This window comes from Homo sapiens, chromosome 1 (assembly GCF_000001405.40).
Source record: "Homo sapiens chromosome 1, GRCh38.p14 Primary Assembly".
Classification (NCBI taxonomy): Eukaryota; Metazoa; Chordata; class Mammalia; order Primates; family Hominidae; genus Homo; species Homo sapiens.
The window spans coordinates 29,840,224-29,855,457 of NC_000001.11; the positions used below are offsets into that span (position 1 = coordinate 29,840,224).

The 15,234-nt window shown below is 46.7% G+C and overlaps 2 annotated features.

The window, feature by feature from the left end:
• Positions 4,929–5,430: an enhancer, noted in NCBI's record as "H3K4me1 hESC enhancer chr1:30317999-30318500 (GRCh37/hg19 assembly coordinates)". NCBI's record gives its function as "activates a minimal SCP1, AML or CMV promoter by ChIP-STARR-seq in primed H9 embryonic stem cells {active_cell/tissue: H9 hESC(primed)}" and the evidence as "EXISTENCE:reporter gene assay evidence [ECO:0000049][PMID:30033119]".
• Positions 5,431–5,930: an enhancer, noted in NCBI's record as "H3K4me1 hESC enhancer chr1:30318501-30319000 (GRCh37/hg19 assembly coordinates)". NCBI's record gives its function as "activates a minimal SCP1, AML or CMV promoter by ChIP-STARR-seq in primed H9 embryonic stem cells {active_cell/tissue: H9 hESC(primed)}" and the evidence as "EXISTENCE:reporter gene assay evidence [ECO:0000049][PMID:30033119]".

A 15,234-nucleotide genomic window follows, 5' to 3' on the forward strand; every position in this document is an offset into this window, starting at 1 on the left:
CCCCAACTCCTTTTCTCTAATGAACTCCTCTGTTCTGGCTTCAATTTCCTCATCTGTAAAATGAAGATAGTAGTAGTATTCTCCTTGTGAGGCTGTTTGAGGATGAAATAAATGTGTATATATATATATATCAAACACTTATAATAGTGACTGACACATAGCAAGCCCTTCATAAGTGTTATCTACAATGTTTATTGGTTATTACTATTAATGCTAATACTTTTTTCCTCCAACCTGTGAACCAGTTGGCTCTGCCCCTTTGATCATCTCTGTATCCTCTTTGGGACTCTATCCAGATCTCCAGCATCCATTTATGAGGGAATGTGATACTGAATGTCGTGTGAGGAGTTGCTTCCCGGGTCCTGAAGATCAGAGTCCTCTGAGGACAGACATGCCCATATTCTCCTGGCTGCTGATACAAAAAAACTCCACTTGTCCAACCTGTGCTAACCTGTAACCAACTATATCTGTTGGAATATTTTTGCCCCCATTTTCATCCTCTAGGTCTTCCTAGGAGTCTCCAGAATTTACACCCCCTCCCATATACCAAAGAAAACTCTAAGATAAGTACATTTAAAATAAAGACATAAAAGAAATAATCAAAATCCTAAAAATAAAACCAGATATTATTTTAAAAGAGCAGGAATATTGAGGACCAAATGTATGATCTTTGGAATGAAAACTCAGTGAATGAGTACATGATTAAAGTAGCATATTAGGCAAAGCTGAGAAACAAAAATAAAATCCTAAGCACCCCAACAGACTAAAAAGACCTCCTCTTCACCAAGGGAACCCCAGAGAAACCTTGAAAACTGAGTTCCTGGCCATAACAGGACAGGAGGCTGGACACACCTTGTTATACCCTTTCCTTGCTAATTGCCATTAGTCTGTCTTCCCTAAGGGTTAAGGAGCAGTCAGCCCTTTCAAAAGACTCATGCCACTGCTGATTTCAGCCAATCACCTTATGCTTCTCCTCCGTTTTGTGCTTTTGACACAGCAACTGACCAGGATTCCTTCCTGATAAGAGGCCACTGACCATGCAGTGGTTCTGGCCAGGCTACAGAGGATGTGCAGTGAGGGTTTTGTGTCTTCTGCTTCATCGTTTGACACCAGAGGGCCAAAAACTCTGCCCTTGGATTATGCTAGCACTGCCATTTTTTGAACACGTGAACCACAAAGAGGCATAAAGTTCAGTTGTGTGTGCACACGTTTCTCCTTTCATAAATATTCATGACTCTTCCTATAGCTTATTAAATATGTATACCTGGCCAACCCATTCAGCAAACATTCCTGTTTATCCTTCCCTCCCTCAAAGTTTTAGCTTTTGGCTTCTGCCAGAGGCTCTGCTTCTCAGTCTGTGGGATGGCCAGCCTGTAGGCTCCAACCTTTTATAAGAAATGAAGTTCTCCTTTCCAATTTATAAACCTAGTGATTCTTCAGTTGACAAAGCTAAAGAGAAAACTATGAACATGAATGTAGACAAAAGGAAACTTTCCAGAGTACAGGTCAGAAAAGAACATTGGAGAAAAATATGAAAGCAAAATTAAGAGAAATTAGGTTAGTATAAGATGATCCACCCTACATGAAATAGGGGTTCTGGAATACAAGAAAAGAAGGAATGAAAAAGAAAACACTCAAATCAATAAGGAACAGGGATTTTTCAGAATTTGCAGAAGAGGAATTTTGGATTCAATAAGTCCTATGAATCCTAAGAAGGCTAAACCAAACTATATGTATATCTAGACCTGGATCTACCAATACCTATATCTACACCTATATCAGTGGGAATTGATAAACTGCAACTACAAACATAATGTTGAGAAGAAAAATAACTCAGATACAAATGGGAATATACTACATTTATTTATAAAATACAAATGTAAATGATAAAATATACTATATTTATAAAAACTTCTAAAGCAAGCAAATCTAATCTATGGTGTTAGAAGTGGTTATCCTTGTTGAAGGACTAGCGACTGGATTGGAGCATGATGGAGATTTGGCTATGCATTTTCTAAAAAAGCTTTAGTTAAATAGGGGAAAAAAAGGCAATCAGAAAAAGGATGGATCACAACTAAGGAAAGACACACAATGGGATGACAGCAGACTACACAGTGGCAACAATAGAGACTAGAAAACAATGGAATGTTTTCAATACCAAGAAGAATAACTAGTGAAGTAGAATTCTAGTTCCAGCTATACCATCAACTAAAAGTTGATGAGAGAGAAAAAGTATATTTTCAGATACAAACTGAGAGTTTACTGCTCAGGAGATCTTGTTAAGGGAACTAATAAAAGATCACTTCAAGAAGAAGGACATTGAACCTAAAAGGAAGGACTAAGAGGAAAACAGCAACAGTGTGCAGAAAGGTTAATGTGCTTAGGGAAAATGGCAATTATTCAGTGGCTAGATGAAGCAAGCAAAACCAGCAACAATAAGAGTAAGAACTAAGTTGGAGAGGTACAAAAAGAAGATGGAATCATAGCACTATATAAAACCAACATTAAAATGGGAGTGAAAGCTGGGTGTGTTGGCACACACCCGTAGTCCCAGCTACTTGGGAGGCTGAGGAAGGAGGATTGCTTGAGCCCAGGAGTTCAAAGCCAGCCTGAACAACATAGAGAGACCCTGTTTCTAAAAATAAACAAACATACAAACAAAATTTGGAAGGAGGAGATCAGAGTTAAGGTCCTGGTGTTGTTAGGGAGAGGTGAGAGAGATTTATTAGCATTAGACTGTTTTAATTCAAATATGCCTTCTCATTTTTAAGATAACTATTAAACGAAGCAGAACAAAATGTAGACTTTCAAAACCAAAAAGGTAATAGACAATATTTGATAAATATAACAAACAGGAGAAAATGAGTGAAAAAGAAAGCAAAGCAAAAAGCAAAAAAGAAAAAAAAAAGAAAAAAAGAAAAAGTAAAAGAAAGAAAAAAGAAACAAAAACAAAAAACAAACTCAGGATCAATAGAAATCACAAATAAGTAGAAAAAATCCTGCTATTGTTACTTTAGTGAATGACTTTAACCCTCTGGGTCTGTTTCCTCATCAGTAAACTGGAGAGAATAGCACATTTTGTTAAAGGGTTATAATTAGCACTTTCCATTTAAGAGCTATCATGAGAATCAAACTCAGTGGGCACCACATGAGGGCAGGTTGCTAGCACTATTACTATGTGACTCTGCACCAGGCACAGCCCTAAGTTCGCCCCACGTGCCATCTCACCTAAGCCTCCCACAGCCCCGTGGGGGAAGGGACCACTGTCATCTTCACTTTGCTGATGAGGAAACTGAGGCCCTGAGGTGAGAGGCTTGCCAAGATCACGCAGCTGGGGAATGGCTGAGCCTGGACACAGCTGGAGTATTCTGACTCTGAAGCCACCTGCTGACCCTGTGACCTTGACCAGCTGAGGTCACCTCTCTGGGCCTCAGTTTCCTCATCTGTTCCTTGTGGTGTACAGGGCAGTCACGAGGCTGGGCAGAGATGAGATGTGCCGGCCCTCGGCAGCGTTCCTAGAACAGGCAGCCCAGTCAATGAGTGATGGCTCCTGCTATTATCATGACCCATGCTGGGGTTCGCTGCTCTCACCTCTGTTGCACAGGCAAGGAGCCCGAGGCTTAGGGAAGCCAAGAGCTGGCTTCATCTTGCTGATCTGCGCTGACTTGTAGGCTTCAGGTCCTGGCTGGAGTGTGAGCTGTGGGAGGGAGCTTGTCTGGTTTCACTGATTTATACCCAGGGTTAGGCCTGGGTAACGAATGAACGAATGAATGAATGAATGATGCTCCACGCATCCATTATTCCCACACAATGTTCTTCATGCTGGGAGCCTCCCCAGATGAAGGCAGCTCTGAGAAGCCTCACAGTGTCAGGACACAAGCAAGCTTTCCATCGGGACAAACGAGGCCCAGACTTCCAGCCTTATTTGACTCCCTAGCACTTATCATTGTCAGACACGTTTTACATATTCATCTCTTATGATCCACATCCCCCCAGCACAACACCAGCTCCAGGAGAGCAGGGACTTTGTCTTATTCACTGCTAGGTCCTACGCAGTAGGTACTCAGTAAAAGTCTGTCATTGAAATGACATCACTGCTCTGGACCTCAGTTTCCTCATCTGTACAGTGGGAGGATGATGTCCCTTTGCGTCTGTTGTGGGAACACAGTGAGACACTGCTCATCCAGTCCTCGGTGCAGAAACCACTGATATGGGTGAGCGGCTGCCCTTCACCCCACTGATCCCAGGGTCTTCTATAAGAAGTGGATTTTATGCTCATCACAGTGTGAGTGTCTTTTTCTTCCTTCTTTGATGGTGAGGCTTTCTGCAGTCAAGCTTTATTTTATCAGAATAAGAGATTATCTAGGTGGCTCAAGCAGTCCATCAGGAAATTTCCAAAGGGACAAAAAGGCAAGAAGTGTCTGTCCCAAGACAACTCTGCTGTGTCTTTATTCTTCATTTAGTCTGTAACAGCATCAACCGTGTTTTGGATGTTTGCAGCATCCCAGGGACAGTACTGTTTTACCCACATTTCTCCTGTATACCTGTGAGAGGTGTTATCCCCAGTTTAGAAATGAAGGAAGGGAGGTTTGGGAGGTGAGTGAAACCTGCCCAATGACGTGGCTGGGCTGAGACTCAAATTCAAGTCTGTCTGACTCTGAAGCCCTCAATTCTTTTGTTCCTTAAATTCTCAGAAACCTCTAGTCTCTTCCTTACCAAATAATCTCTTCTAACCGGGGCCAGTGCTTTGTGGGAAACAGCATTTTAAATGCCTGTGTTTAATTGTGTAGAAGGAAATTTGATCTGATTTTATAGGAGCCACCTCTGCCTATTGCTGTCTTTCTCTTTTTTAAAAAAATAACTTCTTCGTCTATCTTCAGAGGCAATTTGTGATGATGATCATGGACAATTTGAAGAATGTGGCAAATGGAAGAGGAGTTGGGTCACCTATGGCTCCCCCACTTACAGGTGGCCTGGGGTGTCCTTGGCTGTCCATGAAAATGAGCAGAGTTCCCTTGATCCTGTTCCTGGGGGACATGCTGGGGCAGCCCCTGAGGCTGGACTTGCTACAGGAGAGCAGAAGGTGTTGGGGAATCCAAGTCAGAATGGCCCTGCTGGCCAGAGCCTGTGCAGATGACTGGCTGGGGCAGTCACTGCATCTCTGCGCCCAACGCCATCAGCTAAGGTGGGGAGACATGTTGGCCCTGGAACCACTGGGAGTGCTACAGGTGATAGACCCCAAGGTAACTCATGGTCACCTGATTCCCTGGACCCACCAGGGCCACTTCCAGGTTCCTGGGCCCTGGACATGGAATCTGCTAAGTTTGGCCGCACAGAGCTGACCGTTGTGCTCTCTCCGCCTGTCCTCGCTGCTCATGGGATGAAGTCCATGCTCCTCGCCATGGAAATCCAGGCCCCTTGTGGTGGGCTCCTGCCTCTCTCTTAGACTGGCCTCCTCCCTCTCTCGCACCCCTGCCTGGGCCAATCCCATCAGGCCTGACTAGGGCGGCGTGACTGTCATCCAAGCTGGAAGAAGTGGGCACAGGGCAGAGAAGTGAAGGATCAGCAGGGTCAGACACAGGTGAGTGACGAGGGGCTGTTCATCCTCTGCAGGTGGGACCAGGTACGTGTGGTTTCCACTGCCTTAGGGCAAGAAGACAGTTGAATAGGCTGGATTATTTAGGAAAACAGACTTGTAGGAGCAGGAAGAAGTCCCAGAATCACAGATGAAGAGCTGAATCACAGCATTCAGTCCACACGGTGACAGCAGGGCAGCATCGAGTCCTTGTCAACAGACCTGGATCCTCCCCAGCCACCGTCAGCCCTGCAGGGGTGAGATCCGCAGGCTGATCTCTTATCAATACCGGCGGCATCAGGGTCAGTGTGGAGACCCCGAGACGCATTGTGTTTTCCCGGGCTTTCACTCAGTGCAGACCCCTTGGCCCCATTCAGAGGCGTCGATTCTCACTTTCTTCCCAAGCTCCCCTGCTTGTTTCCATGTTTCTTAGGCCCACCTGATGTTAGAGACAGCACAAGGCAGCAGGAGGGGAGAGACGGGAGGACACTGGAGGAGTCAAGGGAACAAGGGACGGCTGGAGGAGCGTGACAAGTGACACGAGGACATGCGGTGAGAGGCACCTGTTCATCAAGCCACAGTTGTTTTGAAAAGGACTCGGAGCAGCTCCTAAAACACACACTGTACACTGAGATCATTCATTCATTCCCTGGGCCAGTGCTTACTGAGCACCTACTATGTGCCAGGCCCTGTGCTGCTGCTGAGATGCACTGAGGAGTGAGACTCGATCCATTTCCTCAGGATGAGGTGTGTGGTGTGTGTGATAAACTCTAACCCAGATCCAGGCCTCTTGTGAGAGTCCCCTAATTCCTCAGTGAGTTTTAGAATTTGGGCAACCATCCTTAATTTACAGGGGAGTAACTGAGGCCCAGATGCAGGAATGACTGGTCTGACGGTTTGGGCCCAGGTTTTTTGAGTCCCTATACCCAAGCTCTGTCCACAGCATCACCTGGCCTCAGGGTCTCATAAGATGATCACGGTGACAGCTTAACCCTTATCCCTGATTCCCACACCACACAGCAAAACTTCCCAAGCTGACATTACTCTGGTTGGAGGTTAATTTTTAGGGAGATAGTAAAAATGTGTTATTTAAATATTGATTATTAAAATCATTATGTAAATTATGTTTGCTACATAATAGGTAATAACCTGTGACTTGAATGTGAAAGCAATACAGGCAATTCTGTTTTTCTCTTTCCACTGTACCTAGGGTTTATCCTAGGGAGTGGCCCACTCTATACCAGTATTGATATTTGGTTAATAATGTTCTTATTAAATCTGAACTGAAGTCACTTTAGGAACCTTCTCTTAGAGGAATGCACTGATTTGCCAAGACCTTGGCCCCAGACGTCTGAGCAGAGATGCTTTCCTTGGAGTTGGAGTTTTCCGCTCTGTAAGTTACTTTCCCCGCATGTCCAGCTGGAACACATTCAACCATTTATCCATTTATGTATTTGCACAACTATTTATTTGCTGTTTCTTATCTTTTTACATCTATTCATTCATTATTAGCCTCTTCAAATTTTTCTTTTGTTTATTGTTTCATTTATTTCTTCACCTGCTCATTCATGTGTTACTGTGTTTCTTGTTTGACTCCTTGGTTCATTCATTCCTACTTCCATTGTTTGTCCTTTCATTCATTCATTCTTCCTTCCTTTGTCCATCGTGCACTCAGCTCCTCAGTCATCAACCATTCCTTCTGTCATCCTTTATTTCATTGGTTCATTCATTCGCTCCTTCCCAAGCCTGCTCATTCATTCATCACCTCATTCATGCATTTACTCATGATTCCTCAGTTTATTGGTTTATTCAATGATTAATGCACTTTCCAATTAATTAATAATTAATTCATGCATCAGTTGACAAAAATAATGTCGTTGTTAATGTTCTCTGTGCATTGAGTGTTTGTCCAGTGTATTCCTGCCACTCTCACCACTCCCACCCCAGCATATTCTGTGCATCTCAGCTAAAAAGGGCCTTCCTTCTGGGGCCTTCCTTTTTGTTGTTGTTGTTGTTGTTGAGACGGAGTTTCGTTCTTGTTGCCCAGGTGCTGGAGTGCAATGGAACTATCTCAGCTCACTACAACCTCTGCCTCCTGGGTTCAACTGCCTCAGCCTCCTGCCTCAGCTTCCCAAGTAGCTAGGATAACAGGGTGCACCACCATGCCAGGCTAATGTTTATATTTTTAGTAGAGATGGGGTTTTGCCATGTTGGCTAGGCTGGTCTTGAACTCCTGACCTCAGGTGACCCACCTGCCTCGGCCTCCTAAATTGCTGGGATTACAGGCGTGAGCCACCACACCTGACCCCTACTTATTTTTATAACACACTTTTTATTAAGGTGTAATGTGAAACACACACAGAGAAAGGGAGAGATGTTCCTCAACTTTATGTCTCTATAAACCTATCATTAGTTGAAGATATCGTAAGTTGAAAATGTATTTAATATACCTAACCTACTGAACATCACAACTTAGCCTAGCTGATCTTAAAAGTGCTCAGAACACTTCCATTAGCCTGCAGTTGGGCAAAATCATCTGGCAACTCAGTCCACTGTAGAGTATCCTTTGTTTAACCTGGTGATCGCATGGTTGACTGTGTGCTGCAGCTCACTGTGACTGCCTGGCATCTAGAGAGGACTGTAACTGAATGTAGGTTCAATCACTGCTTGCAGAGTCTCATTAACAAGAGCTAGGTATGGCAGAAAGAAAGTGGCTTTCTTAACCAAAACTAGTAATGGGGAAGTGGCTGGATTCCCATCCAAGGTACCCATTTTGATTTCTTGGGGGAAAGCAAGGGCATAAAAAGGGAAAACAATATGGAAGGCAGGTAAGAATTGTGCTGAGTATAATGTCTGTGTGTCTTATTTCAGTGGCTATTATGGGTTCCAGTCTACTTGGAGCACAGGCTGGCATCATCTCAACAATGGCTGGGTTGTTGACTAGCTGCCTTGAAGTAATCTCTGGAATTTTGTAGCTGGGTCTATCTGTCTCAAGATTAGAACTTCGAAAAAGGCATGTAATTATATACTAGCATATAGTTAGATAACTAAGAAGGGAGTATATATGCTGAGAAAGGAAGGGACTTGGAGTCTGTTTTAAGGCTAAGGAAAAAGGCCTCTGCAGTTTGCTTAAGGTTGTATCTTGAAACTCAAGGGAAAGGGAAAAAAAGTTCTAAAATACAGTTTGAAGTTAAGCTGCCCAGTTACAGTATCATACTACTTTCTACTGAACACATATTATTTTTGCAGCATGGTAAAATCGGAAAGTCATAAGTCAAACCATTGTAAGTGAGGAACTGTCTGTACACACATCGTAAGTACCCAGCTCAAAGGACTTGCAATTACTGGACACACCCATGGGAGGAGCACCAGGCCAGGTGCCACCCCAGCATCCCTCCTGCGCCCTTCTGTATTTCTTAGTTACTGTCTTCATTTTGGTGACAAATACAGTTACTGTCTTCGCTTTGGTGCCCCCTGGTGACAGAACTTAAAGGGTTTGAGCCCTGCAATTCAGTTGGGAGGTAGAGGGAACACCTGGGGGGCATGGGAAGGCCAGACAGGGAAACGAAGCCATCTAATAAAGGCTGTTATGAATGTGGTCCCCACTGTGGGTGACTGGAGGTTAATCAGATGGGAAAACCCAGGAGCCAGTGCCAGGCACGAGCGCCACAGTCACCCCACCAGAACTGCCATTCTGAGGTTCTGGGGTATGAACATAGCAACTGCCCTTAGTCATGGGTTGAGTACTCTTCTCAGGGAAGGGGCATTAACTCCAAGGCAGTTAAGTCCTGCCACCAGGGCATCAGAGTGGAATCTGGTGACCAGAGAAAGCCTCCACGCAAAGAACGCAGAGGCTGGTCCTGGACTGAAGTAGTGAAGACAAGACTTGACACAGCGATGAGCTTATCTGATGGTGGCTCCCTCCTCCTCTCCACCCCCTGCTCCTTAATCATCCTTCATCCGGGCTGCACTTTGACTTACTGTAATGTTCAAATCAGAAGGACCCTTAAACAGCAACGGGCTCAATGGCTTTATTTTACACACTGAGGAAACTGAGGCCTGAAGTAGGGAGATCACTCAGCCAGCTGTGAAAGAGCCCAGCCCAGGCCCCTGCTTGGGTGTGGCTCCTCCTCTTTCCTCACTGGGGTGATGTCTGACCTTGCCTGTGAATTCTCTGTCAGATGCATTGACGGAGAACAGAGTCGGCAAGCATGGAGCTGCTGCCTTTGAAAAGCTGGAAGATAATTTGCCCTGGCGCTGTCTTTTTTTTTCAGAACCCTCCCTTCACTCCTACCCCACAACACACGCACACTTAAAAGCCACATTTGTTGAGCCAAAGTGACTGTCAGTTTCACTCCAATAGAAATGTGTGTGATCTCTCGCCCATGTGAACATAGTGTGCTATTGATGTAATTACATCCAGTTAAAGTCCCATCGAGAGAATATATTACAGGAGAAAAGAGTTTGATGTGGGAGAATTCGAGTCTCCACATATGTACTTTGACTCCTCCTACGCTTACTTCTTTTAAAATGAGAAAGAGGACTTTGCCTTTAAAGGTCACTCTCCCTTCAAAATATTCTGGAGAAGAGTCAAGTAAGCACATGCTGAACGTGTGAAAGGTTAGTGTTTTATCACGATCTAATCCTGTCCTCTGTCTTTCTCCACTGCTGCAAAGATAGCACCTCCTGCGCAAGGGACTTGCCTCTGAACAAGGGACTTACCTCTTGCTCAAAGGACTGCCCCTGCAATGCATCATCAGCAAATTTTCTTTGCAACTTGAGTTTGTCCTTTTCCTCTCCTTGGAGAGATTAGATGCAGCTACTGGGCCAAGAGACACGAGCCCAGACAGCGGAGAGATTCCATTTCAGAAGCCTCAGCACCAACCATGTACTATGAGTAAGTGGCCATCTCCTGAAGGCTGACTGTCGTGTCTGCCCAGCGCTGTCCTGGAGACTTTTGGAAAAAGTTCACTATTTCGAACCCACAGCTCCACCCTGCAGAGGGGAGGTTTCCTGATGCTCCCACCATCATTTCCTGCCTAGATTATTGGCGAAGTTGCCCAACTGGTCTCCCTGATTCCACAGCTTGGTCTGCCTGTAAATTGCACCCTACTCCTGCCTATGGACCAGGGAGACTGGGTTGTTCTTGCTCTCAGAGTGGACTGGGGTCACTGAGCCAGCAGGATGGGTGCAGAGAGGGTGCAGAGCCCCTTCCTATTCTCTAATTTGGGGGGTTAGGGGGAAGAGGCACAGAATTGTCATGGTCCAGCAGCCTATTGCTGGGAGGAAGGGTTGCGTGTGCTCGTTGAGATCACTCATGGCTGGCAGTGGTTCTAAGGGTCCCAAGGGGAGAGTGATGTAGGAGGATCCACTGATCATAGTCAAAGAAAATTTCATCTTTGGGTCATGCTTGGTGCTTGGGCCAAGAGTCACTGAACACCGGCTCACCCACCAGATGTGTCAATCCCTCTTGACATCATGTGATTCCCTGAATAACTGTGAGAGTCACCATTTGTTGAGTATCTTTTTCACCTGTTCAACAAATACCTGTGAGTGGGCACTGGGGCTACAGCAGGGAACCCTACAGAGCTGTTAAATGACAGAGATGGACCATCGAGACTCCCAGCTATGTCAACACGTCCTTGAGGCCTCCACCGCCCTGCAGGAGCTTCGCATTCACACTCTGTCCTCTCCTGCAATCAGTTTCAGGCTCTCTTTTCTCCCCCCAATCATCCATTGGCACTTGGTCTTTTCATATCCTTGGAGCTGGGGCTGGGGGTGGCAGGGGAGGGAAAGAAGTAGGCAGGTGGAGGAGGCGTCACAGAGCCAAGTGAGGATCCTCTTTCTTCCACTAAGAAATGAGCAGTTTTACGCATATTAATTTAAGCACGGTCCATAACTAAAGAAGAAAAATAAGCCAGTTGGATTCGTTTTCTCGGTCAGCTTCTCAAGCCTGGTATTAATCTATTCATCAGCTGAGCTCATCAGAAGCAAACACGTTTCTTCAGGAGTTTTCTAACAGGAAATAAATGCCTCATTAAGTTAAACATTAACCTGAGAACAGGACCGATGTCAGACAGACTAATGAACGTCATTATAGGGAATGCACCGCGGTCCTCAGAGGAGCTCCACCCAGCGTCGGGGGCTCCCACAGATTGGCTCAGCTACTGCAGGATGTGGGATCATCAGAGGAGGGAGGGAGACAGAAAAGGGGCTGTTGCTGGAGCCATGATCATGGTCAGCCCTGTGAGTGGTGCCCTGATTAATTCTGGCATCTTCGAATGCCTGCGAAGGGCATGTGGCCAAAGGAGGAGCCCTGTGTGCCTCACTGTTGGGTCCAAGGGGGTTGGGAGGAAGCTGAGTGCAGCCTCTGAAACAGGAGGGAGGGCAGGAAGGCCGAGTTGGGCATCAGAACCCCGAGTTCTGGTTCCAGGCCTTCTCCACCCAGTGCAGGAGGCTCAGTTCCAGTCCCTCTCCAGCAGGCTGAGCTCTGCGCTGAGCACTTCCACAAGCATCGAGCTCAGCTACCGTCGCAGAAACCCAGGCAGACAGGGGTTTATGGCCCAGGGTTGTAGACGAGGAAACTGAGGCTCAGAGGAGTTAAGTGACTTGCCAGAGACCACCCTGCCTGTGGGTGTGAGAGAGACAGGCCCAGGCTGGCCTACCCCGGTCCAGGTTTCCCCAACAGCCCCCGCCGCGTGCTTCCTGGAGTTCTGTCTTCCACTCCCTCCCAAACCCTCCTCCAGGTCTCTGGAGTGTCTTCATGGGGTCTGTGTGGGGAGTGGCTCTCTCTGCCACCACACAAGAGCCAGGGTGTAGACCCTGCAAGGCTGAGGAGCCAGAGGAACCCTGACTTACATATGGCTCAGGGAGTCCCAGCCGTCATAGAGTAGAATCTCTGCTCTACGTCTCGGTTTTCTCATCAACAAAGTGGGGCTGAGTCTCACCACCCCACAGGCTTGCTGTGAGGATCAAATGAGCCAACGAAGGCATAGTTCTCCACACAAAGCAGGCTCCCAGGACATGCTGGTCCCTCTCACTCTGCACTGTCTTCCTGGTCCATCTTCTGGGTTTGGTCCTTGGTGAAGAGCCAGGCTAGTGGAATGTGGAGGAGCACAGTGGTCCTTCTCAAAGTCCAGCCTCAAGTCCCACAGTGCATACACATTCCCTGAGACTCTGCAACTACCTGGTTTCTATGCAGAGATGATTATGACATGGTCTTCCACATCAGCAAGTTCATAGCCAAGTCAAGGAGAGGACCCCAGGGCACTGGAGAGAGTCCAGTCCCCAAAGCGGGGACAGAGAAGAGTGAGAAGGGCCTGGAGACAGAGGCAGAGCCACTGGGGTTGGCACAGAGTGAGCATGGAAGAGGTGCCTTCTAGGTGTGAGGGGCCAGCCAGCCTCCCCCGGGACAGAAGTAAATAGAGTTCTGCCAGGCGCTGTCCTGGAGACTTTTGAAAAAAATTCACTTTTTCTAACCCACAGCTCCACCCTGCAGAGGGGAGGTTTCCTGACACGTCCACCATCATTTCCTGCCTAGATTATTGGCAAAGTTGCACAAATGGTCTCCCTGATTCCACAGCTGGGTCTGCCACTCCTTTCTGTAGACACAAGGAAACTGGGCTGTTCTTGCTCTCAGAGTGGATTGTGGTCGCTGAGCCAGCAGGATGGATGCAGAGAAGGTGCAGAGACCCCTCCCTATTCTCTAATTTGGGGGGTTAAGGGGAACCATGGTCCAGCAGCCTATTGCTGGGAGGAAGCATTGCATGTAATATAAAGGGCCAGGCCAGCTAGAGGCCTAGTCCAAGGTTGAGAAGTAAGAGGGGGAGAAAAGTATAAATTCATATTTACAGCCATCCAAAATCCCAGACTACCCTCTGCATCTTCCTCAGCAGATCTAAGGGAATGCACATATGCCAGGCAGGCAGATGGGCAATCAAGTGGATGAGCTCATTCTATTTAAAAAGAAAACAGGGGTGGTTATTATTAGTCCTATGTGTCAGGTAAGGAAACTGAGGCTCAGAGCTGCCAAGGTCGCCGAGTTCATAAGAGCTGGGATTCACTCCCTGGTCTGTTGGACCCCAGGGGCCATGATTTCCCCACTGGCCATGGTACCTCTCATGTCAGCAGGCCCTGCTGGACAGTATTTGTTTTCCCTGAAAAGCATAAGCATCTGGAAAATGTCTACTGCTGGCCCTTTTCCCTCCTTGATGTGGGGAGGCATGAAAACCCATGACCTATTCCCAGCCTTGAGTGCGGAGAGGCAGGCCCCGGCATCGTGTGTTAGCACTAGCCAGAGGGGCGCAGCACAGCCTTGCGGGGACTCCTGTGATTCAGAGCTGGTGTTCCCGCCTCACAGGGTGAGCCCAGATGCTCATTTCTGGGCATAGCTTCCCTTCACTGTGAGCACCTGCTCCTTCATAAGGTGGGCGCTGAGCATTCTGGCTGAGTACGGAGGCTGCAACTTCATTGCAGGTTGGAGCACTTGATGTATTGAATGGTGCAATGTTGTGTTTAATTTCACTGCAATTATTTCGGCAATTATGTGTTGAGCACCATTCTCCCCTGTAAGTTCTTCCTTGGAGAACTGGATCCAGCTTTGTGAGACAATGTAAAAAGAGACAAAAAACTCAAGCTTGGTTAGGGGAGCCAGCTTCGTGAAGGATGTGTGATGAATAATGCTGAAAACAATGGGGCTGTCGAAACTGGAGAAGGCAAAACCCTATAGAGATGAGCTAGGAGAGTTGTCTTCAAATACAGTAGCCCCCTTATCTGTGGAGGATAGGTTCTAAGATCCCCAGTGGATGCCTGAAGCCCCAGGTAATACTGAACCCTATATATACTGTTGTTGTTTTTTTTCCCTTAAGTCAAGAACTTTCACGTTTTCCCTTAAAGGAAGCACTTTACAGCTTCTTTTTGTCTTATCTGAATGGTCAGCATCACTACTCTTATGCCTTGTGGACATTATTAAGTAAAATAAGGGTGGCTTGAACACAAGCCCTGCCGTCTCGATACAGTGACCGTTGATCTGACAACCTAGCCAACTACCCAGTGACTATGGGGTGAGTAGCCTATACAGTGTGAATATGCCTGAGGGAGGGTTCACCTCCCGGGTGGGACAGAGCTGCACAGCACAAGATGACATCATGCTACTGAGAGCGGTATGCAATTTAAAACTTAAACACTGTTTATTGCTGGAATTTTCCATTTAATATTTTGGGACTGCAGTTAACTGCAGGTAGCTGAATCTGTGCTATAAGACATTGAACCCTTGCCCCTCTTCAGCACTCAGAACCTTTGGAAATTACCCCAATTTTTCAGATGTCCCAGAATTAAAGGAACATCCCTCCTTGCCCTTGGTCCTCCTCCCCACCTCCCAGCCGTCTCCGGATCTCTGTAAATGGTCTCTGCTGGATTAGAATCGTGGTCTTGAGGCATTTCTGGTTCTCTTGCTCTCCGCTGCCCTGCACATGTGAAGAGCCCAAAGCCCAAACCATGGGGGCTGCGGGAGCCAGAGGCTGTTTCCCGACTATTTATGAGGTTTGAGGAACAGAGGCCCCTTTCTGGTGGGGGTGGACTGAAAGGGGCTTCTCAGTGCCCTGCATGAGGCTGAGTTGCCCGCTGATGAGGCTCCTTTGATCATTCTCTCTGGACTTGGA